Below are 25,733 nucleotides of genomic sequence, written 5' to 3'. Positions count from 1 at the left end.
GATTGCACCACTGCACTCCAGCCTGGGTGACAGAGCAAGACTCCGTCTCAAAAAAAAAAAAAAAAAAAATGTATTCAGCTTTTATGTAAAGGGGGATATCCACTTAATGATATTCTTTCTTATTTCTTGATGAGACCATATGATGGTTAAAAGAACCAACTGAATTCATTAAATTTTACTGTAATGGGAAATTCTGTCCACTTTTGTCCTGTGACTATTAGAAATGCATTTTTTACACATATTTTTTCACTTCAAAAAAATTCCAAGCCCTTTTTCTTTATCCCAGCGTTCTCTATCTGTTGAAATAGCTTGCTGTTTATATCAGTCAGTGAATTGAGTTTGAAGTCTCTTTGATATCTCTGATAAAATATTAGAAAAAACCTGGGGTATAAATGCCAAATAGCTGTTTTAGACTCCCCATTAAATTTGAATTTGATAAGTCTATGGATCATATATATAGCATGTGCTATGGCTTTTTACTTTCCATTCTCTGGCCAGTATTAAACTGTAAATTGAAAGGAAATTCTTGGTCACCATCAAATTGATTGATTGAGACATAAGCCAATCTTTAAGTCAAACTAATGTCAAATAGGACATAGAATTCTGGGATAGTTCCAATTATAGAATCAGAATTATGGATTCTTAATTCAGAATAAATTATAGGATTATACTATCACTTATAAATTTTAAGTATTCATTGAACTAGATTTTGTGTTTTCCTTTTGTGTTCCTTTCATTATTTCTATTAAGGAGTTCAGCCAAAATATCCAATTACTTTTTCCCTATCACTGTTAAAACATTTTCTTAGTGTTCTCAGCTTCAGTCTTTCTCTAAACTCATCCTTCACACAACTGGCATATTGCTGTTTATAAAAGTCATATTATATCCCAGCTTGTAAACTTCTGATGGCCTTCTATTGCCTGGCTTATAGGAGAATGCCTACAACTCCTTAGCCTGATGTAAATTACTACCCTCAATCTATCCTCAAAGTTCTCACCCTAATTTTACTACCTACTATCCCTCCACAAAAACCAAGGAACCGAAGTGAGAATGGTCACCTTAAGGTTTCGTGCAAAAACTTTGCCCTTTTTCTTATATTTTACATCCCACCTTCTATCTTCAACACCCACACCCCATATCATCTTTTTAAAAAGCCTTCCTTGGCCTCCTCAGTGCAGAGAGATCTCTGTTGCCCTCCAACTGTCAGAGCACTTCTCTCTCTCCACTCTTTGTTTAGTGGTTGTCATCTCTTCTCTCATTTCTTCTCTATTTCATTTCTTCTCTTGATTTGCACATATATATCTTCTCTTTTTATCTGGATTATAAACATTTTGTGAAAGATATTATCCCAGTGTTTGCAGACAGCGAGTGCAGGTTTTCTATTCTCAACAGAAATGTTATGTCTCTTTAGATGTTTATTTTTAATTTTATTGGAGAATACTATTATCATACATCAGTGTTTTCTTTCTGAGGAAAAACAATCCTAGTTTCTCCTCTCAAAGTACACTTTTATAATAATGAATTACTCTATTCATAGCTTTGTTATAAACTTTCTTCGAGTTCTACCCAACTATATTAATTGAAGTTGTAAAATAAGGTATTAGATGCAATTGTAATATAAAACACATCAACTCTGAGTAGAGCAGAAGGGCTTGCCCCAGTAAATTGCTGGGTCAATACTCCATTAACAACCAACCTGGTGCTACTAAGAACGCTCACTAGAAGCACTGCTCAGGATATCTATAAACTGCACAAACCCATAGAGACAAATAAGTATATATTGTTTGCCTCTTTCAATTTTCTTTTAACAGCTCAACATATAAAATTGAAACAAGAATTATTTTTGTTTCAAAGGATGAAAGTAACTATAACTATTGAATCCTAACATTTTTAATGCTTTAAAAATTAGGTAAATATTTGATACATAAAATCTTAGACTCTATTTAAGCAGCATTTTACCTTCAGTATAATCCGTAGCAAGTAAATTTACCAGTACCTCAGAATACTGTAAAATTCATTTCCTTTCCATTACTTGAGTCCACTACTTCCTCAATCCACGTTAAGCAAAATTTTCTTTTCCCTGTCTGCCTTCCCTATATGGAAAGTGCTGGATGCCATTATGGTATCACGTGACACACTTCTTTTGTTTCTAGTGTCCCCCAGACAACTACTCAGAGCTTTCTTTTTCAGGCATTGTGTGACCACCATTCACTTCTCTTACTTCTTAAATATCGATTTGAGGCTCTGCAATTAAAGAAAAAAAAAGGAAGCTGGTAAAAGAGGGTTTTTTTGGGTGATATTGTGTTTTGGGACAATTTTTTCAAGTATTAAGAATCATATCATTTTATGACCAGGGAGGACCAAACTGAAGTCCAGGAAAATGACTGTCCAAGAAGATCCACAGTTACCTTTTTTGATACTCATATTGGCGATACAGACATGCCAAAACTCGTTCCTTCTGATGTGAGATTTAATGATAGGTACCATTTCCACATGGCCTCAATTGTTTGGTAAGCAGGGCTGTTAACTATGGGGAAATTCTGTAGTATTTGGAACTTCCCCCACCTCTCCATACATTCATACACAACTCTACCGTGGACTTGAATGAGGTAGCAAGGCTTACTAGCTTCTCAAGACTTCGTCATCATAGCCAGACTTGAGAGTAGAGTTTCTGGGTCCACATCTTACAGATATGTGCCCCATCTTTACTACTAGAAGACAAGGAAGGAAGAAATTCTACTCTCTGCGATAGTTTAATCTGAAATGCAAGCTTAAGAATTCCAGAAACCGGAAAAATATTATTTCAGCCTTTTGAATAAAGGAGAGACTACACAGTTAAACCTCTGAAGGCTTCACCAAGCCCCTCAAAGTGAATTTCTGCTAAATAGAATCTCGAGACACTAAACACATAATATTGGCATGCAGAATGTCTGGGTATTGAATAAAAGGTTTACTGGTTTATATAGATAAGCCATCCCCATACACCTTCTGAATGCCTTGATGTCTGCTAGAAAGACAACACAAACCTTAGTCATGCCAGGGAGACAGTAAAATAGCCTTCTTATATTGAGTTATTTGCTGCTTTATTTATTTTTCTTTTTAAATATAACAGTTGTTGGCTTTTACAAATTAATACCAAAATGCCAAAATAAATAAAAGAGAACTTTACTACTTTTGCTTCTATTTTGTGAGAGTACCAGCTATGCCAGTATTTTCTTTGTTTTAAGCCATTCACCTATGGGCATATTCTGTAGCTTCAGTAATTTTTTTTTTTTTTAAGCCCTTGCTTGCAAGTAATTGGTATTGATTTTTGCAGGTTACTGCTAATGTGTTTAGTTCTGAAAAGAAACCTAACTGTACCCTTCTCATCCTATAGTCCCTTGAAGACAATAACATGTATAACTTCAGAGCAAATTGCAGTGGTATCCAACTTCTTTAGGCAAAAATTAGGGGTAGGAGCCAAGTTTTTTCAGGGCGCGTGTCTTCATACCTCAAAGGTAGTGATATGTCTTAACCTCCCCATTATTTCAATTCAACGTGCTGATATACGAAGTGTGGTTGTTAGTGGTTAATACTCCTTATGCTAGAGGAGTAAACAACTAAACAACGTAGAAATCTCATTTAAGAACAAGGCCCTAGGGAGTGACAAGAAATAAGTCTACCCCTTAAATCAGCACATTCAACTGGGTCGGTCATTAACAACATTGGCACTAATAGCTTTTAGCAGCAGGGCAGCTGCTGATTACAATTGGGTTTCCTGCAACTGTGGCTGCAGAAGAACTGAAGCCTCCATTACAAAGGCAGAAAACTGGGGGAATGCACATGAATTCAAGGTAGAAGGGAAAAGCAAGTGGAGTGTGTAGACTTGGATGAAAAGGATTCACAATTTTCCATATAGTTAAACACAACTTTGCATATCAGTCAGTAAAGGGAGTCAAATATATGGTTTGGAAAACTCTGGATTATTGCGAAGCAAGCTTTATTATCCAGAATCAGCTCAAGAAGGTAGTACCTACTGTAGAAGACAAGGTTTCCTTCTGATAAAATGATATTTTCTGTACCAACCCTTGTCTCTTGCAGAGTTGACAAATAGCAAATAAGAGTAGAGTAATACAAATTATAATAAGAAATTTACATATCATTGTTTTTCTAGGTAAAAAGGCAAAAAGCTCACACCTTAAACGGCAGCCATATTTTTGACTGAAAATGCTGTCTTAGCGATGTCATATACATCGCAATGATAATCATCAGCATCCAACTTTGAAACATCCACTTGGCATCCTATTAGTGGCAGTATGAATGATCAGGGCACGGTTCCCTATGGCAGTATTAATGATGCAGTGGAATCAGTCAAGGACAGTTAACACAGCTGAGGTGGGTAAATAGGGTGGATAAAGGAACACGAGATAAACTGTTATTACATATCAACATTTTGACATAATCTGGCAGGCTGACAAAATAGACAACACTCCAAAAATATATCTAGAAGTCAGATTAAAAATTTCAGTGGAAACTTGCAATACTTCCAACAGGGTGGGATTTTATATAAAATAGACTCTTTTTGGATTTATTCATGGGATTTTGTCACTAAAAAAGTGAGAACATCTTGTTATAAAGGAGCTTTTCATGTAAGAATTTTTGATATGTATTTGCTAAACCAACACACAGATATGCCAGCCTGGATATACACAACATCTCCATGTATCTACGGTTACATAGAGCACTTGAAAGAGTCATCTAAATCTTCTTTCTTCACTTCTTTATTTCTCATTCACTTTCATGTGTTGGGAGTGAGGTGGGGAGGTGAGTATAAAATAGAGAGTCCATCCACTTTCCATCATATTCTAGTCCATCTTCTCTACCCACGACTCCATAGAAATTGCTCTTGTCAGACCATAGAAGACTTCCATGAGACTAAATCTAGCGGACAGTTTCTCTGTCCTCAGTTGGAACATTTGGGGGACATTTCTTCTTTTTTAAACACTATTGTTTCTTGGCTTATGTGATGTAACTTCTGATTTTCTTCCTTTCTCACTGCCAACCCCTTCTTAATCTGTTATTTTTCCCCCAATAAAATGAATGCTTTTTGTTTTTTAATCTTGATCAGATCATTATACTCTTTCAGTAACTTCCAATAACTTTTAGTAGTTTTTCATTTCATGTAAAATAAAACCCAAATTCCTCATCATTTCCCTAAAGTTCAGCTTGATTTAGTCCCTACCTGTCGCCGCAATTTTATTCTGCACCACATTCACCGTGCTCTTCCACCTTGCCTTCTTTCCTGTTTCTCTTCAGCCATTTCCCTTTTCAGGGCCTTTTCCTTTGCAGGTTCCTCCCCAACACCCAAATTCTTCACATCTCTGAATCCTTCCTGGCATTCCAATCTCAGTTCCTAAGTTACCACACTGGAAGACCTTCTCCAGGACTTCCATTTCACATTCATCTTGCCTCTTTCTGTCATGTTTATGTTATTTATAGCACTTATCACATTCTGAAAATATCTTTTTTATTTGTTTATGATTTATTGTGTTTTCCCTCCACTGGAATATACATACCATGGGGATGAGGAACATGTCAGTCTTGTTGCCTTCTGTATTACCATTGCTTGATACATAAAAGGCACTTAATAAATATTTGTCAAGTAAAACAGATATTAAAAATTTCAAGGCCCAAAAAATATCTAATGGGACCTAGAAAACATTATTTCAATGAATTGCCCACTCAATGTTTTATCTACTCTGAGAAAGAATACATTTCCTATATCACTTACTCTTTTTAAAAATTAATCTTTTCATAATTAATATAGTCATGTTGTTTAAAAATATAATAAAAATTCCTATTCCTCTTTATATTCCTGTCACAAATATGTCTAGTAACTATATACTGCTACCTGCCACAGGTAACTATGTCTTTAGTATCATTTGTGTTCTTCCAAGGTTTTTAATGCAAAGTCAAGCATACATGAACATATGTTATTTTCTCTTTTTTTAGACAAAAGCTAGACATATTAATCTGTACATTTTTTCCATTCAGCACTCTGTTTTAAAGATACTTCCACATTAGTACCTAAAGAGCTTACCATAAAACTCAGAAATGAAGGTACTGTAACACTGCCATAAACATAGGCAAATAAATCAATGGGACAGAAAAGATAATCTAGAAATAACCCACAGCTATATGGTCAATTCATCTTTAACAAAGGTTCCTAGGGAATTCATTAAGGAAAGTCATTTTAAGTTTTTTTCACAAATGTTTCTGAAATGACTGAATAATCTAATATGAATAAATTGATCCTTGCCTCACACCAGATACACAAATTAATTTGAAATTGATCAGTAACAAATCTAAAAGCTAAAATTATGAAACTTTTGGAAGAAAACATAGGAGAATATTTTTTATGAACTTGGGGAGGCAAAGCTTTTTTAGATAACACAGAGAAAGTGCTAGCCACAAAGAAAAATATTTAAATTGAACTTAATCAAAATTAAAGACTTCTCCTCTTTGACATATTACCACTAAGAAAATAAATAGGCAGATCATAAAATCATAGACCGGCAGGAAATGTATCATTCAAATATATATCTCAAAGGACTTAGATTCAGAATAAAGTATTTATATAACTCAATAAAGCAGCAACGAAAAAATAGACACATTAAACAGACATTAAACAACAAATTGAACAGACATTAAACAACAAAAGACATGCAATAACCAATAAGCAAATAAAACAGTGCCCAGAATCATTAATCATCAGGGAAATACAAATTAAAACCATAATGACAGATCACTGTACACCCACTGGAATGGACCAAATTAAAATTAAAACTCTGACGGCTGCACCAAATGTTGGTAAGGGAAAAGCAACTAGAACTATATTATTTTGCTGGTGGATATGTAAATAGGTATAACTCCTTTGGAAAATTATCAGATTCTTATAAATTTAAACATATATCTACCTTATGACCTAGCAATTCCACTCCTAGGTAGAATTTTAAAAAAATAGATCTATAAAAAGATTTATACAAAAATGTTATAGCAGCTTTATTCACAATATTTCAAAGCTAGAAACATCCCAAATGGCCACAAACTGAAAAACAGGTGAATAAACTGAGGTGTGTTATTTAATGAAATACCATTTAACAACATGGAGTAAACTCTAAAATATTTTTCTGATGCAGAAAGTCAGACCTCGAAGAGTATATTCTGTATTACTCTATTTCTATAAAATTCCACAACAGGTGAAATGAATCTGTTGATGGAAATCAGATCTACATTCTCCTTTGAACTGAAAGGCACTGATGACCTAGGAATTGGCATGACAGAATTTTCTAGGTTGATGAAAATGTTCTATTATCTTGATGGGTGTGGGATACACAGGTGTATACATTTGTCAAAATTTACCAAACTGTGTGCTTAGAGTCTGCATTTCATGATGTAAAAATTACATTTCAATAAAAACACTATAATTAAAATATAATATCTTAAGGTATAAAGTAATAACAATATAAGTAAAATTTAAATAAAGGAAATGAATGTTTAAAATGAGGATCAAGATCTGGAATACAGAATTCATTATTTAGATGGGATTGGAGAAAGGAAGAGAAACGTATATATAATGGGCACTGACTGGTAGACCTTTTCAGCAACGTTGTTGAAAAGCTGAAGTGAAAAAGGCAACATCAGGAAGGTGGACAAAACTAAAGGTCTGCATTTCCCATTGTACCTTTTTTCTAGTGCTGGTACAGCTTACAGCAAAACTTCAAGAGCTAGAACCATCTATCTGAGACAATTCTTTTCCCATTATACCACTAACGAGGTTTATGCCTTTCCTTGCTTTCTCATCTCTATGATTAAAATTCTATGGTGATCTTTAAGTTGAATTACTCTTTCTTTTATCCAGAAACTGAATTAACCAGAGCTTTATCCCAAGCTTAAATTACCTGTAAACCAAATTGCTCTGTAGAACAGAGTGAGAAATGCGGCAAGAAACATCAAGAAACTGGATTCAATGTCTCTAGAATGCTACAAAAATAGAAGTTCTGCTTGACTTAACATTCATGGAATTTACCTTGAAGGATATTATTTTACTATCAAGCTACCTTCTCTTCCTTCCCTGTCTCTGAAGTAAGAACTATAACAATAAATGAAATGCAGAGTCTCCTAAGAAAATGAGATTTGCTCTAATTTTGCCTTTAAGCCATTTTGTTAATTTCTTTTTATTTTTTAAGGCTGCAAAATAAAACCTAATAAAGAAAAGGATTATAATTAACCACTGGGAAAAGTGCACACAAGCTTAGAATTAGCATTGTTAAATTTTTGAGGAAAAAAGGAAGGGATTAAGATAGAATTGCATTTTTTAAAATAGAGATAGGGGAAACGTCTCTCATTGACAGTGGCTCCACCTATTTCCAAATAATTCTGCTGTCTGCATCTCCCAACAGACCACGTGCTTCCTTTTAGGACACCCATGGGAGATCTAGCAATCGTGAGTGCACGGGGCATCCATCACTTGGCACTCATTACATCAGTCTTCTAAGACTGATGGCTGCACTTCTCTCTAAGGGAAAGCAAATATGATCAATTATTGCTCCTGCTCCCTTGTTAGTACACTATTAGCTTCTGCAAATTATGGAGTAGGGTAAAATTTCATATAAATTGTATTAGCAGAACTAATATGTTCTTGATTGAAGACTGTCTATTAATAGGAATTTCAAAGAGAAAGGAACTTTATCAATGAACATAGGCCTGAGATACAGAGCCTCAAAGAAATTAGACCACCATGATAAGAAACCAAGCAATTTAAGAGGACAATACTTGATAAAATAAGGATGCCTACTCGTACCATCACAGAGCAACCACACAATAATATTATACCTCTTTGTAGAAAACAATGGTTTTAAGATATACAGTTATGTGGGAATAACTGATTTTTTTAAAAAAAAATTAATGAAAAATTCTGTAACTACCAATTGTATACAGAAAAGATGATATAATGAATCCCCATAAACTCATCATTTAGATTCATTAATTTTCCAGCAAAAATAAGCCACATCTGCTTAATTTTTTTCTTTGCTATTTTTTTTTTTTTTTTTTGAGACAGAGTCTCGCTCTGTTGCCCAGGCTGGAGTGCAGTGGCACCATCTCAGCTCACTGCAAGATCCACCTCCTGGGTTCACGCCATTCTCCTGCCTCAACCTCTCAGGTAGCTGGGACTACAGGCGCCCACCATCATGCCCGGCTAATTTTTTTTGTATTTTTAGTGGAGACAGGGTTTCACCATGTTAGCCAGGATGGTCTCGATCTCCTGACCTTGTGATCCGCCCACCTCGGCCTCCCAAAGTGCTGGGTTACAGGCATGAGCCACCACGCCCGGCCTTCTTTGCTATTTTTTAAATTTTTTCCCATAAGTTATTGGAGTACAGGTGGCATTTAATTACGTGAATAAGTTCTTCAGCGGTGATTTGTGAGATCCTGGTGCACCCATCAACTGAGCAATATACACTGCGCCATATATGTTGTCTTTGCTAAAAATTTTTAAAACAAATCCCAGCAACATGTAACATCATACCTAAAATACTTCAGTATCCATCTCTAAAAGCACAAACATTGTCTCACAAGATAACAGTGATATTATCTCACCTACATATTAACAATAATGTCTTGGAATCATGTCTAGTGCATACTAAAATTTTTCTAACGGTTTCAAAAATGTCTTTTTCTTAGTTGATATGCTCGAATTAAGATTCAAATACTGTATTTGGTAAATCTCCCAAGTCATTTTTCTTTCTTTCTTTTTTAAATTTACAGCTGTGCTCCTCCTTCTTCCCCTCTCCTTTTTTCCCATGTCATTAACTTTTGGCAGAAACTGTGTCAGTAGTCCTATAAAATGTCCTTCATTCTGGATTTCTCTGTTTGTTTCATTGTGGTGTCATTTAACTGCTTCCTTCCCTCTCTATTTCCTGGTGGCTGGAAGTAAGTGATAAAGGCTCAATTAGATTTAGGTTCAACTTTTGACAGAAATGCTTCATAGATGGTGCAGTCTGCTTTATGTTACATTATCTTAAGAGAAAAAATAAGTTCTAGGGTTCCAAATTCTAGTTATAATGAAAACCTAGTCCCTCTATTGTCTAGTTCTTTTTAATATTTTATCCAAAGGATTTAATCACTGATGAACGTTGCTTTGATCAGTTATTTTATTAACATTGCAAAATGGTGAGTTTTATTCTTACACATTAATGAACTGCAATATTTCCATAAAAAAGGCTATTCATCATCAAGTGATTATTTTGATTACTGAAAAATATAACTCCCTTTAAAGTCAGAATAAATATTTAGTTTTTTCCCCTTTAATTATCAATTTTCAGAGCAAGTAGTTGGTGCCTTAATAATTTCCAGAGAATTTTTGAAAAAGAGTTCCCAAGCAGAAACCGAACTGTAGGCTAACCATCTCCATTATTTTTAAAATTCTAGCTCAAGATCCAGGTTTCCAGAATAATTCCAATCTCAAATCCTCTTTTTTACCCTACATTTCCATAAGATTAATGTGTTCTGTCATTTTTTTCATCATATCAGAATACATGAAAAAATTAATAATTGAAAAATCAATTCCAAACAGCAATCTCAGACCTTCCCGTACATACCCGTCTTTGCTACCTTTCCGTTCACCTTGGTAACATTCTTTCTCCATCCCCCATCCTCAGAATGGTCCCCTCTCTCAAGCCCTCCAGCTCAGTAACACCTGTGTACTGGAGCCTCTCCAAGGCAGGGCTCCTGGTGATCCACAGAAACCTTGAGATGCTAAAGACACTCTCTACTCTTAAGAAAATGGAGAGGATGAACTTCTCCTGTGTGGATGGGAAATTCTGTTAAAGTAATATAAAAAACGACTGCTCATGCTGTTGCTTGGGACAATGTTAGTGAAACAGATCGTTGCATTTTTATACAAAATCACTTTAACTCTTTCACTGTACATTAAGCAATAGTCTCAACACCACTTATTAACACAGCAGCCAGAGTCTGAGAATATGTAAACACAAGGAAAGGATATCTGGGGTGTATCTTTGGAAATAAGATTAAGAACTGCTGAAAGAGAGTACTGGTGAGCTCTGAACTGTGAGGCCAGTGGACATCACTCGATTCTGTGACACAGGCAGCCCGCGGAGCCCTGGTGGTCATCTTTTGTACAAGTGCTTTTGTGCATACAAGCTATTCGTGGATTGAACCCTTGAAGAACAACTCAAAACATGTTACATTTGTGATAAGCAGCATAATGGCCCTTTAAAAATGTCCACACCTGGATCCCTGGAATATGTGAATATGTTGTATTCCATGGTGGCAAAATGGACATTGCACACGAAATTGTGGTTACAGACCTTAAAATAGAGAGATGATTGTCTGGGTGGGACATATTGAATCATATGAACCCTTAAAAGTAGAGAGTGTTCTCTGGCTTGAAGCAGAAGAAGGATGTGGAAGAAGAGAAAGTCAAAGAGATTCCAAGCTTGAGAAGGATTCCATGTTTGCTGGCTCTGAGATGTCGGGGCCCACATGCAAGAACTAGAGGCTGGTTCCCTGTTGACAGCCAGCAAGGAAATAGGAATTTCAGTCCTATGGTCACATGGAACTGGATTCTGCCAACAAACTGAATGAGACTGGAAGCAGATTCTTTCCACAGCCCAGCTGTTAATCATCTTGACATCATCTTCCTAACACCCAGAACAGAGAAACCAGCAGAATCAACTCAGACTTATGACCTATAGAATTGTGTGAGATAATAAGTTTGGGTTAAGTCACTAAGCTTGTGCTAATTTATTATGGAAGCAATAGGAAAGCTAATTAATATTGCTATTGTGTCTACACTATCACTTCATAAAAGGGCATCATACTCTCTAATTAATGGATTACCAATTGTTTCCTGACTGCAGACTATCTGAGTTATCACAGTGTATATGAGGAACCACTCTCTCCCTCCAACCCCTGGTGCTCTCTTCTTTCTAACCTTGTCCCTAAAACGTAGGACTACTATTTCAGCTATATTATTTTGTTCATTATTTTCCCAGCTACATTATTATTACTAGGTATATTATTAACAAAAATGTTCTAATTATTTTGCTTTGCTGTTACCCCAGGAACCCAATAATTGTTTATAGGATGATTATTTGTAGGACGACTATATATATAATCATGTCATCATTTATAGGCTGAATATAGATCATTTATAGGATGAACATGTATATTCAAATTTGAAACACTGACTTAGCAGTGATCTTCTGAAATACCTCTTGTTTGAAAGTCAGGAACTACATGCATTTTACATGGTGATGAGTTTCCCGATGGCATGTAAAAGTGCTATACTAAAAGTAATAAAAGTTTAATATGTAAGACTAATTGGATTCACAATCAATAGGTTATATAAAATGAAGGTTTTAAAGGGCGAGGCAAATACTTTCTTTAATTGAATAATGTGCCTCTTAAGCTGTTTTCCACAGAGAGAGTAATCAGGAATGACTATTATTAAACCAAGCTAATTTCATCTTCTGTGGAAAAAATAAAGAAGAATGTTGAAGGAATAATGCCAAATGCAGCTACACCATTTTGATGGAGACAAATGCATAACAAGGTTCAGTCCTACAGGCAAAAAAGACCAGAAAAGACACCAAAATAATTTAATAAATGATGAAAATCATGTAACAAAAGCTTTCTAGATGATGGTTTAATGGGATGTTACTAATGTAAATTTTATGCCTTGTTTAGCTTTTTATTCTGGTGGAATTTTCCAGTGTGACACCCATATTTAATATCAGAGTTTCTAGGAAAATAAAAGAACTAGAATGGTATTTCACCTGTAAATTCCTTGGAAGATCTGAGGGGACTGAAATATCAAAGTCACATTAGAAAAAGTAATTAACTTAAATCCCTTTTGGAAAGGCAAAAAGAAAAGTGAATCAGAAATAAAAATTATCTTACCGAGAACATTTAAAAAGTGCCGAACAGTAAATGTTAGCTATTGTTCCTGAATACTTTGTCCTTTGAGCTTGTCGACTTTTTAGTCACAAGGCAGTGCACCATCATATTGCCCAAACAATTTACATCACAAAGGAACTATAATATTCTTTTAAAACGAAGAGAGGGTGAATTAATAAGAACCATCATCATACCAGATTCCTTCAATCTCAATGGAATGGCCAAATGCTAGCTGGGAAAATTACTTCAGACTTCTTAACTGCTATAATTGAAGTGAGATTTTCCTCCGTGCGTGCATGTGCAGAATATAAATATTTTAATTTCATCTGTTCAGTGAGTAATATCACAGGACTGCTATTTTACAGAAGTAACATTGGAGAATTAAAGGGTGAGCTTGGGAGTGGACCATATATTTCTAGAGAGACTTTTTTTGCTAGGAGGTTCAGTGAGCATGTGTTCATTTCCTCCTTTTTCTTTCTCCAAGAACAGTAGGAGTGATCTGTGTTTCTGCCCAGAAGGTAACCCTGTTGGATGCTATCAACACAACTGTGAGACTATTAATGATTACATTTAAAAATCTAGCTACCTTCTGCTTCAATTAGTTTCCTCTCCACTACATAAATACACATGAGGGTTTGGAGACATATGACTATCTTTTTCATCTAAAAAGGCTTTCTTCTTCTCTGAGATTCTAGGCATAAACCATCCCATTGACTTGCCAAGGGAATGCATCAACTTCCTGGTAAAAAATGTGATGTTTTGAACTTCCCCTGGTGAGACTAGTACTCCATAAAGGTAGTTTTTGGTAAAGTTATTTTATTGGCATGAAATCTTAAACTAATCTTTCCTAATGCATTTCGACATAGTATAAGCTATGAGTCCATCTCCCATCTGAACTTGCTTTTTTTTTTTTTCAAATAGTGAAATGATTTGAAACTATTTTCAAATAGTGAAACAATTTTTTAGCATCAACCAAGGATCAAATGTTCTCTCAGATTCTGTGGTTTAATTAAATTCTCCTTGCTCCATAGAAGCCAGGTGACTATAAGGTAATTTAATTTATTGTCTTATATTCTGATGTCTTTAATATATACTACATGTATATTCCTTGACACAGATCTCTTAATAGGTATGTGTGTATTATTAATATATGTTAGTCTACACCAGCAGAGCACCTTGATCCATCATGTGCTCATTTGCTTTGTGAGAAGGGGACTCAACTTTTATGTGAAATCTCTTCCATTACCCATAGCCAGCCAAAATTCTCCGATGAAACAAGCATTTTTTAAAAAGAAGTATATTGTCATAACAATCACTTATCCTTTAGTGCTAGAAACTCTCTCTGAGGAGCGCCTCTCTGAAAACCAGCGAGAGCAGAGAGAGGACCTGAGGCCTTGTGGCTGGGATGGTGCCAGAGTGGCAGGATATTGAACGGATAGGGTGGGGAGGGGGCAGCTGAAAGTAGAATGAGTGGACACGTTGTGATTGTCTAGGAAGGGGCAGGTCCTGTATTGACTTTTTTTTTTTTTACTTTTTAAATTATTACAGTTTTTTTTTTCCTACTTATATAAGAACTCTGTACTGTAAACATCTCCGGCTGACCTGTGCTTCTTCCTAACAGAATAGATGAATGCCTCTATCAAGGTAAATGATCTTTCAAGAGTTAGATGTTATTTTAACAAACCAAATAGTACATATTTTTGCAAAAATAAATTTCCTTAAAGTAAAACATCAACAACGAAAAAGTCTAATGTGAGAAAAGAAAGACTAAGTTACAAAGTTTACTCCTGAACACCGGCCTCCTTCCTCTTCCTGGAACATCTCAGACACAGACTTGCCTTGAGCCTCTGGACTGGCCGCTCTCCCTATCTGAATGTTCTTCCCCCACATAGTCACATGGTGAATCCCTGCACCTCTTCCAACTCTCTCATAAATGTCACCTCCTTCCTGAGGCCAATTCCCACAACTCTATTTAAAATTATAAGCCATCCTCACAACTCCAGGCTCCTTCGCCCCTAACATTGCTATTATTTGATTTTTTTCCTTCTAATCTACTCTATACTTTGTTTACTGACATAGTACCTACTTAATGTTCTTGCGTTTAGTATTTATCAGCCTCTCTTTCCCCATTAGAATGCAGGACCCACATGGAGATTCTTCTACTTATTTGCTCATGGAGAATATGGTCTTCACTCAACAAGTATTTGTTGAATGAATGAGAAAAAGAATCAAGAATTTTTTTTACATTAAGGATATCAAAAAGCATACAAATATAATCTGAATTATTTGGGTCAAGAATGCGAGTAAAATGTATGGGGATCATTGAATAATTAGGCTAAATGGATCTGTCAAAGGATGGATACAGTGTTTTCAAGCTCCTCTTTCCCAAAGGGTTTAAGCATATTTGATAATCATATACTTATTTGCTATAAAATACAGTAACGATTATTTAAAAATTTTCAATTTGGCACTTCCTCCCTAGGGGACACTGGGCTTCTAGGGAGTCTTCATGAGCCAAACATCGGTAATATTATATTTTCAAGAACTGCTGAGTTGGGAGGCAATTTGTAACTCTGGATCTGAAAGCCATGATTTGGTGACACTGTGAAACTGCTCTTCTTTAAAAATACTGTAGTAGGCTGGGCATGGTGGCTCATGCCTGTAATCCTAGCACTTTGTGAGGCCTAGATGGGTGGATTGCCTGAGCTCAGGAGTTCGAGACCAGCCTGGGCAACTTGGTGAAACTCTGCGTCTCCACTAAAAATACAAAAAATCAGCTGAGCGTGGTTGCACGTGCCTATAGTCCCAGCTACTTGGGAGGCTGAGGCAGGAGAATTGCTTGAACCCAGGAGGTGGAGGTTGCAGTGAGCTGAGATTGTGCCACTTCACTCCAGCCTGGGTGACAGAGCAAGACTCTGTCTTAAAAACAAACAAATGAACACAACCCCCAAAGGTATAGTCCACATTTTATTGAAAACTGGAGAACAAGACTAACTAAGGTTACATGCCTACTTCCTAGTAACTTTATCAATCAATTCTGACATGTACACTGTAACTGAGTGCCTCTCTTGAACAGGATTCCCAGCCTAGTCTGACTCTTTTATTCTGCCTTCATGTAGCTCCCATACCACAGAAAGAGAAAGGAGGAACCCCGGTTCTTGCTTTTCATTGGTAGAGTAGAACTTCAGTCATTCTTTGTTAGAGATTACTTTAGACAGAGTATTCAACCAGTCGTGTTGTTGTTTCCAAATAAATTAAAAACGAAATTGGGTATTTTAACTTTATAAGAAGATAAAACTGCATTTGAAATCATAGCAATCAAAATAACATTTGTAACAACTTTTGATTTTAGTGATCTCTTTCATTCACTTATTCTAATGTGAAAAGACTGCTTTTTTAGAAAGCCAACAAAATAAAAATTAATATTAAACTTTCTACCTGTATTGAATCAGCAAGTATGCATTAAATTCTGGAACATGAAAGAGGTTGGCTGAGACCTATTCTGACTAAAAAAATTTTTCCATGGCAGGAAAGAACCTACTGATTATATGGCAAGCTCTTTGACATATTATCTATTAATAATTTTGTCCTCAACATGAACCCTGTGAGGTACATATTATTCATGTTAGTACAGCTGTTTTTTTTAGTACAGAAAAGTGAAAATAAGGGAGAAAGTAGATTTCTTAAGATCACAGAGAATGTAAATCCAAGTCTACTTTGCCTATCCAGAGCTCTGAGTCCTATGATCTTCCAAAATAATATGCTTCTGGTGTGCTAAAAAGTAAAATTATATTATTGATATATATCTATATCTATATATATGATATATATCAATTATATAGTTGAAGGTTTTTAAAAATTAAAACTAAATAATATCTATTTAAGAAGAAGAATTAAATAATTAGGTTTAGCAGTACTTGGCATCTGCCATACAAAGTACTTACAAGAAAATACTTTCCAACATCCACGTTTACTCTTTTTAAGCACACATTGAATAAAAGCATAGAGCTGGCTTGAGATGAGTCATCTGTTCTGTCACATTTACAAATGTCTACCCAAAACAAAGCTGGCAGTTTCCAGTAAAACTCAATATGAGTTGAAGCCAAGACCTTGACTCCAAAATCAAATGTGACTGAATCAGAACCCCTCCAGCCTTCCTCAGCACCTCACACGGGAATGAAGAAGAGATTCTACATTCTAACATACGTTTCAAGTAACTGAGAACAAATAGGTTCTGTCTCTGCAGTGTAGATTTTCTCATTAGCAAACCATATTGTGTCTCATTCCCTATACAAATTGTAGCATAACACACCAGAATACAATATGGAGCAAAAAATAAACTTGCTAGTTGTGGAGCCAATAACTGATAAGAGAAACTGCAGCTGAAGACAAAAAAGAAAAATAATGACGCAGAAAAGCTGGTCTAGGAGAAGGTGGAAGACAAACAGCAGATTGTATTTTACATCCTGGTGGAGATGCATAGTAAAGGCTAAGGGAATTTACAGCTTATCTGGCCTGACCCTGATGCTACTCATGGGGGATGAGTTTCAATCCAGTTGTGCTGAGAGGGCTTGGGCAAGTTGTTTTCCTTTCCATATCTGATATTCATTTAAAAGGAGGAAATAAAAAAAATGCACCTTTCACTATTATTGTGAGGATTAGCACTAGTGCCCAGCACTGTGTCTGGCACTGATGCAGGTTCTTAGTAAATAGTAGCCTTTGTTATTTACAGATGGGGAAGCTGAGGGCCAGGGAGGAAAAGTAAGATTCAAGATGGCATTAGTATGTGCTGAAACTGGAAACAAGGAGAGAAAACAGATTAATCTGAAATATGCCATGTCAGATCAGTATTAGAGAGCTTTCCAGCCACATTGTACCTCATCTAGGTTCGTCCCAGGAAGGCAAGCTGCCTGCTCGTGCTGCCAGTAGTAGGTGGGAGGATTCTAGAAGTAAAGCTGTTGTCACTAATCACTGAATCATTTTTTTTTTCCTTCCTGGTTGGCTGAGAACCTCTCCTAAAAGCCAAACCATTCTTCCCAGATCCCTGACAACTCAACAAAAACTCAACTTATTCTATGTAATGGGCTCATCTTGGTGCTTTAGAAAATTTAAAAAATGAGTATATCCTACTGCCTGCCTTTGAGTTTTCAAAATTATTAGAAAGGTAAAGCATGTGTATTCCTAACCATAGTCAAAACTAGAATACATTCCAGAAACACATTACTACAAATTTTAGAAAGAGAAATCCCCTCTTCTTTGGGATAGTCAATAAGGACTTTATAGAAGTCAGATTTAACTGGGTTTTAAAGGATGAGAAGGAATTTCACATTAGAATACTAAATCTGCTAACAAAGGAGATGCATTCTAGCAGCATTTTTATGTGGTCTTCAATTGCACTACCAAACAGAGAAGTAACATTGGAGGCAAAGAAATTAATTACAGATGCCAGGTAAGGGCAGAAAGAATTGGATGATGGGGACAAGGGTTAGACACAGGGAAGTGTCATTAGTGTCAACCAATTTATGTCAAATCTAGAGAATGAGTGCAAATATACATATGGTAGTCTTTGGGAGGATAGAAAGAATAAGGTAATTTGAGGAGGAGGGAATGCAGTAGATAGTTGCCAAAGATAGCCACCAGCAATCCCTTTTCCACTACATACATGAGAGATGGAATTGATTTCTCCTCCCCAGAATCTTGGCTGGCCTGTGACTTTCTTTGATCATTATAATGCTATAGAAGTGACGCTGCCCTTTCCGGGCCTCGATGTTATGGGTCCCAGCAGTTCCTGCTTTCACTTTCCTGGCTCTCAGCTAACAAATTGCAAAGAGGTACAGAATATCATCCAGTATCCTACAGAAAGAGGCCATATGGAGAGGCCAGGACAATGGGACTTCATATATATAGTATATATAGAGAGAGGAAAGGGGAAAGGAGGGGAATTGAGGTATCCCAGGAGAGTCAGTGCCAAGGTCCCAGACATGTCAAGTCAAAATTTATTTACAGAGAATCACAGAAGTCTCAAACTACTTTTTATTTTTTTTTTTTAAAAAAGAAAGTGAACATATCACTAAAGAATGAATCTCAAACATTTTTTGAGTACTTCCCATATGACTGGCAAATGTTAAGGGGGCATCAATGAAAGCCTGATAAATATCTGGCAACCCAAACTATCTTTTATTCATGATTTAATGCTTAACTCAAAACAACTCTTAGAAAAACTGTCCTGACGCTCACATCACCAACTAGGGCATATTAGAAGCTCTCACTCATGTTTCTAGAAAACCTGATCTATTCCCCCATCATATAGTGATTTGTTTGTTGGTCTGCCTTATCTGCTAAACTCAACCACATATGCACAGAGACCAATAACTTTTACCTTTAGTATACAGCAGGTGCTTACTAAGAAATATAATCACTTTAAGGTTACGTACTAGGCACTCGATTGATGGATGGGTGGATAGATGGATAGAATGACTACGTGCTCTGAGAACACAGTGAAAACTTAAAATTTAGCTTTAATTTTTTTTATTTTTAATTTCTATGGGTACATAATATTTGAACATATATATGGGACACATGCAATATTTTGATACAGCATGCAAGGTGTAATGATAAAAATCAGGTTAATGGGGATCTCCATGTTCTTAAACATATATCATTTCCTCCTCTTCTTTTTTTTGTTTTCGTTTTTTTTTTTTTTTTTTTTTTTGAGTCAAGGACCTGCTCTGTCATCCAGGCTCGAGTACAGTGAAGTAACCATGGCTCACTGAAGCCTCAATCTCCTGGGTTCAGGTGATCCTCCCAGCTCAGCCTCTCAAGTAGCTGGGACCACAGGCATACACCCTCATGCCAAGCTAATTTTTTAAAACTTTTTATTCTTTTGTAGAGATAGGGGTCTCATTATGGTGCCCACTATGGTCTCAAACTCCTGGGTTCAAGCGATTCTCCCACCTGAGCCTCCCAAAGTGCTAGGATTACAGGCTTGAGCCACAATGCCCAGCCATATATAATTTGTGTTAGGAACATTTCAATCCCACTCTTCAAGTTATTTTGAAATATACAATAAATTATTGTTAACTATAGTCACCCTATTGTGCTACCAAACACTACATCTCATTCCTTCTACCTAACTGTAGTTTTGTACTCATTAACCATCACCTCTTTATTCCTCCTTCCCCACTACCCTTCCTAAAGTCTGGTAACCATCATTCTACTCTCTACCTCCATGAGATCAATTGTTTTAGCTCCCACTCATGAGTGAGAATATGCAATATTTGCCTTTTGGTGCCTGGCTTATTTCACTTAATATAATGACCTCCAGTTCCAACCATATTGTTGTAAATGACAGAATTTCATTCTTTTTATGGTTGAATAATATTCCATTTTGTATATGTACCACATTTTCTTTATCCATTCATATGTAGGTAGACACTAAGGCTGCTTCCACATCTTGGCTACTGCAAATAGTGCTGCAATAAACCTGGGAGTGCAGATACCTTTTTGAAATACTGATTTTCATTCTTTTTTATATATATTCAGCAGTGGGATTACTGGATCATATAGTATTAATAGCTCTATTTTTAGTTTTCTGAGAAACCTTTATGCTGTTTTCCATAATGACTATACTAATTCACATTCCCACCACCAGTGGGCAAGTGTTCCCCTTTCTCTGCATCCTCACTACCATCTGTTATTATTTTATCTTTTTGATAAAAGCCATTTTAACTTGGGTGAGATGATACTTATTATGGTTTTTTATTTGTCTTGCTCTGATTATTAGTGATGTTGAGCATTTTTTCACATACCTGTTGGGCATATGTATGTGAAAAATGTCTACTCAGCTATTTTCCCTACTTTTAAATACAATTATTAGTTGCTTTTTGCTATTGAGTTGTGTTCTTTATATGTTCTGGTTACTAATCCTTCTCAGCTGAATAGTTTGCAAATATTTTCTCCCATTCTGTAAGTTGTCACTTCACTTTGTTGATTGTCTCCCTTGCTGTGTGGAGATTTTTAGCTTGATGTAATCCTACTTCTCCATTTTTGCTTTGGTTTCTTGTGCTTTTAAGGTCTTACTCAAGAAACCTTTGTCCAGACCAATGTCCTGAAGCATTTCCCCCAATGTTTTCTTTTACTAGTTTCATAGTTTCAGGTCTTACATTGAAGCCCTCAATCCATTTTGATTTGATTCTCAAGAAAATACTAGCAAATCAAATGCAACAACACATTAAAAAGATCAGTCATCCCGATCAAGTGGATTCATCCCAGGGATGCAAGGATGGCTCAACAAATGCAAATCAGTAAAAGTGATACATCACATCAATAGAATGAAGGACAAAAACCATATCATCATTTTAATAGAGGCTAGAAAAAGCATTTGATAAAACCCAGCATTCCTTCATGATAAAAAACTCTCAACCAATAGGGTACAAAAGAACATAGCTCAACACAATAAAGGCTGTATCTGACAAACCCATAGGTAATGTCATACTGAGCAGGGAAAAACTGAATGCCTTTCCTCTAAGATCTGGAACAAGACAAGGATGCCCACTTTCTCCACTTTTATTCAACATGGTACTTAAAGTCCTAGTCAGAGCAGTCAGACAAGATAAAGAAATAAAGCTCATCCAAATTGGAAGGGGAGAAATCAAATTATCCTTGTTTTTAGATGATATAATCTTATATTTAGAAAATTCACTCCTTTAAGTTGCAACTAATTAATCAAGAATGATACTGGGCTTGGCATTGTGGCTCACACCTATAATCCCAGCACTTTGGGAGGGCAGATGACCTGAGGTGAGGAGTTCGAGGCCAGGCTGGTAATCCCAGCTACTCAGAAGGCTGAGGCAGGAGAATCGCTTGAACCTGGGTGGTGGAGGTTGCAGTGAGCCAAGATCACACCATTGCACTCTAGCCTGGGCAACAAAACTCAGGCTCCGTCTCAAAAAAAAAAAAATGATATTGAATCATTTGTCATTTTGATTGAGAGGAAGCTGTTGGAAAGCAGAAACAAGAGGAGATTCCAGGTCTGGATTTCTATTCTGCCTCAGAGGATAACTGGATTATGAGGTGAGACAAGTGCCCTGATGCTCATCAATGTAGGGTTCTAAGAACAGAGAAAAAGGCAACTGTGGACATAGCTTGGTGTGGGAGGTGGTGAGGTTAAAAACTGAAGCAGGGCTGGGCTGGGTGGCTCATGCCTGTAATCCCAGCACTGTGGGAAGATAAGCTGGGTGGATCATTTGAGGTCAGGAGTTTGAGACCAGCCTGGCCAACATGGTGAAACGCCATCTCTACTAAAAATACAAAAATTAGCCAGGTGTCATGGTGCATGCCTATAACCCCAGCTATTCGGGAGGCTGAGGCAGGAGAATCACTTGAGCCTGGGAGGCAGAGGTTGCAGTGAGCCGAGATCGCACCACTGTACTCCAGTCTGGGTGACAAAGTGAGACCCTGTCTAAAAATAAAACAAACAAACAAAAAAACAAAAACTGAAGCAAGAGAGTGGGTGAGCACCTTGAAGGTCATGCTCAGGGCCTCTGAGTTTTATCTTAGATGGAGTGTGAAGTCTTTGGAAGGTTTCAAAAGGAGAGTAATCTGATAAGATTTTGTGGCATTGTGGAGTAAACTCTCCCTGCCCAGAAGAGCACCAGGGAGTGGTACAGAATTTCCAGTGTGATTCTACATGTCTCTCTGGAAATACCTTGGTAAGTAGATGTCACCACAGTTTTCATGGCTAACAGCTGTTTTTAAACCATGAACAGCTTGGCTTTTAGAGAACCTATTAATTATCAATTTATGAAAACAGACAATAATGTATGAAAAAACTCCAAGTCATAGTAGTAGATCCCTTTATAGATCTGGCAGCTTTTCAAGTAAGTGCTTCTGGTATTTATAAAGATCTAGATGCACCATCTGGAACTAGACTAGATCATAATTCATCTAAAAATTTGGTAATAAATTGAAAAACTCAGAAGGGTTGCCTCAGGCAATAGTACTATTGCTCCATTGTCTTAGACTGTTAAGAACACAGTCAAAGATGCTCTTAGCCACAGAGGAACTTACATTCGTATTCTTTCTTCAACTTAAAAAGACAGACATGTAAACGAGTCAAAGAAATTAAGTGCAGGCAATAGGGAGAATAAATTGGATTCGTTTCCCCATTGTGGAGAGAGCTCTGTGGCAGATTACTGAGTATAAACAACACAGGGTTCTTGTGAGATAAGGCAGCTGTCTCTGTGTGGTTCCTGCAGACAAGTATTCACATTAAAGCATCCACTTCTCTAAATGGCAGTAATTGGCCCCCAGCTGACAGTCTCAAAGCAGGCCAAGAAGTGGGAGTTAAATGGAGTGGATGGAAACAAGACATAGCCTTCCAGAGCCAGGTGGAGACTCCCTTTCGCAGCCCCAGAGGAAATCCAGGGATATCCTTTGTTTCATATCATTCTTGCCTCTTGAGGTTTGAAATATATTACTATCTCTAAGGTCAGCAAATCTCCCAGTCTATGACTGGTAGAAATGACAAGGCAAGACTCCCTAGAAGAACATGAGTAGAGCCTCTGCCTGGCAGAGAACATGCAGTTTCTAACCTTTTCCCTGCGGTGCCACCAGCAGGTCCACGGGCAGAGTGACCCACAATGCCCAGTTCATCCAATACCCAAGTTTGCTGGCTGCATTTCTATGAATACAAAACACAGGGTTGCGCTTCATGGACCCTGTCCCCCAAGAGCAGAATTAGGCTCTAGGCTGAAAAACACTGGACTATCCACAGAGAAAGAGGTCACATTTTGGGGGGCATAAGGTTTTTGCTGGTTAATTTTTGCTAAATAAAGTCAGAAACTGAATTTCTATTTCTAAAGGGTGTTTTTAAATTCTCAGTAAAAACATTTTTAAACTGGTTTGGTCCCTTTCTCTCAAATAACTGTAGGAATGTGAATTACAGTACTTTTCCTCTAAAGCCATTTTACAATCTAATTTTCACAATCGTAAATTTTTCTCTTGTTCATTATTATTCCATTTGTATCATTTCCTTTGTCTGTTTATTAGGTTTCATTTCAATTATTTAGACTATTTATTATAATTATTACTATTATTATTGCTGTTTCCGAAGTTATTTTTTCTATCTGAAGTGAGGGTTTTGAGAAGTGAAAATTAACCTACACGTTACCTTAAAAGTGCAGGTTGATAAAACTTCATAGAGCTCTCCCTCTCCCTCTCCCTCTCCCTCTCCCTCTCCCCCTCCCCCTCCCTCTCCCTCTCCCCTTTCCACAGTCTCCCTCTGATGCCGAGCGGAAGCTGGACTGTACTGCTGCCATCTCGGCTCACTGCAACCTCCCTGCCTGATTCTCCTGCCTCAGCCTGCCGAGTGCCTGCGATTGCAGGTGCGCGCCGCCACGCCTGACTGGTTTTCGTACTTTTTTGGTGGAGACGGGGTTTCGCTGTGTTGGCCGGGCTGGTCTCCAGCTCGTAACCGCGAGTGATCCGCCAGCCTCGGCCTCCCGAGGTGCCAGGATTGCAGACGGAGTCTGGTTCACTCAGTGCTCAATGGTGCCCAGGCTGGAGTGCAGTGGCCTGATCTCGGCTCGCTACAACTTCCACCTCCCAGCCGCCTGCCTTGGCCTCCCAAAGTGCCGAGATTGCAGCCTCTGCCCGGCCGCCACCCCGTCTGGGAGGTGAGGAGTGTCTCTGCCTGGCCGCCCATCGTCTGGGATGTGAGGAGCCCCTCTGCCTGGCTGCCCAGTCTGGAAAGTGAGGAGCGTCTCTGCCCGGCCGCCATCCCATCTGGGAAGTGAGGAGCGTCTCTTCCCGGCCGCCCATCGTCTGAGATGTGGGGAGCACCTCTGCCCCGCCGCCCCGTCTGGGATGTGAGGAGCGCCTCTGCCCGGCCGCGACCCCGTCTGGGAGGTGAGGAGCGTCTCTGCCCGGCCGCCCCGTCTGAGAAGTGAGGAGACCCTCCGCCCGGCAACTGCCCCGTCTGAGAAGTGAGGAGCCCCTCCGCCCGGCAGCCACCCTGTCCGGGAAGTGAGGAGCGTCTCCGCCCGGCAGCCACCCCGTCCGGGAGGGAGGTGGGGGTGTCAGCCCCCCGCCCGGCCAGCCGCCCCGTCCAGGAGGTGAGGGGCGCCTCTGCCCGGCTGCCCCTACTGGGAAGTGAGGAGCCCCTCTGCCCGGCCGCCCCCCCCGTCTGGGAGGTGTGCCCAGCAGGTCATTGAGAACAGGCCATGATGACAATGGCGGTTTTGTGGAATGGAAAGGGGGGAAGGGTGGGGAAAAGATTGAGAAATCGGATGGTTGCCGTGTCTGTGTAGAAAGAAGTAGACATGGGAGACTTTTCATTTTGTTCTGTACTAAGATAAATTCTTCTGTCTTGGGATCCTGTTGATTGGTGACCTTACCCCCAACCCTGTGCTCTCTGAAACATATGCTGTGTCCACTCAGGGTTAAATGGATTAAGGGCGGTGCAAGATGTGCTTTGTTAAACAGATGCTTGAAGGCAGCATGCTCGTTAAGAATCATCACCACTCCCTAATCTCAAGTACCCAGGGACACAAACACTGCGGAAGGCCGCAGGGTGCTCTGCCTAGGAAAACCAGAGACCTTTGTTCACTTGTTTATCTGCCGACCTTCCCTCCACTATTGTCCTATGACCCTGCCAAATCCCCCTCTGCGAAAAACACCCAAGAATGATCAATAAAAAAAAAAAAAAATTAAAAAAAAAAAAAAAACTTCATAGAAGTTGCCAAAGACTACATACCTATTTAACATGCATA

The 25,733-nt window shown here is 37.9% G+C and overlaps 1 protein-coding gene across 1 annotated transcript in view, besides 1 other annotated feature; it reads right to left on the bottom strand.

The window, feature by feature from the left end:
• Positions 1-25,733, bottom strand: part of CNTNAP2 (contactin associated protein 2) — a 2,304,198-nt gene that overhangs the window by 594,001 nt on the left and 1,684,464 nt on the right. The window lies entirely within an intron of this gene.
• Positions 22,917-23,488: an enhancer, noted in NCBI's record as "NANOG hESC enhancer chr7:147500602-147501173 (GRCh37/hg19 assembly coordinates)". NCBI's record gives its function as "activates a minimal SCP1, AML or CMV promoter by ChIP-STARR-seq in primed H9 embryonic stem cells {active_cell/tissue: H9 hESC(primed)}" and the evidence as "EXISTENCE:reporter gene assay evidence [ECO:0000049][PMID:30033119]".

The sequence above is a fragment of the Homo sapiens genome, chromosome 7 (genome assembly GCF_000001405.40).
Source record: "Homo sapiens chromosome 7, GRCh38.p14 Primary Assembly".
NCBI classification, from domain to species: domain Eukaryota; kingdom Metazoa; phylum Chordata; class Mammalia; order Primates; family Hominidae; genus Homo; species Homo sapiens.
The sequence above is the reverse complement of the archived record's forward strand: the minus strand, read 5'-3'. Positions and strand labels throughout refer to the sequence as shown.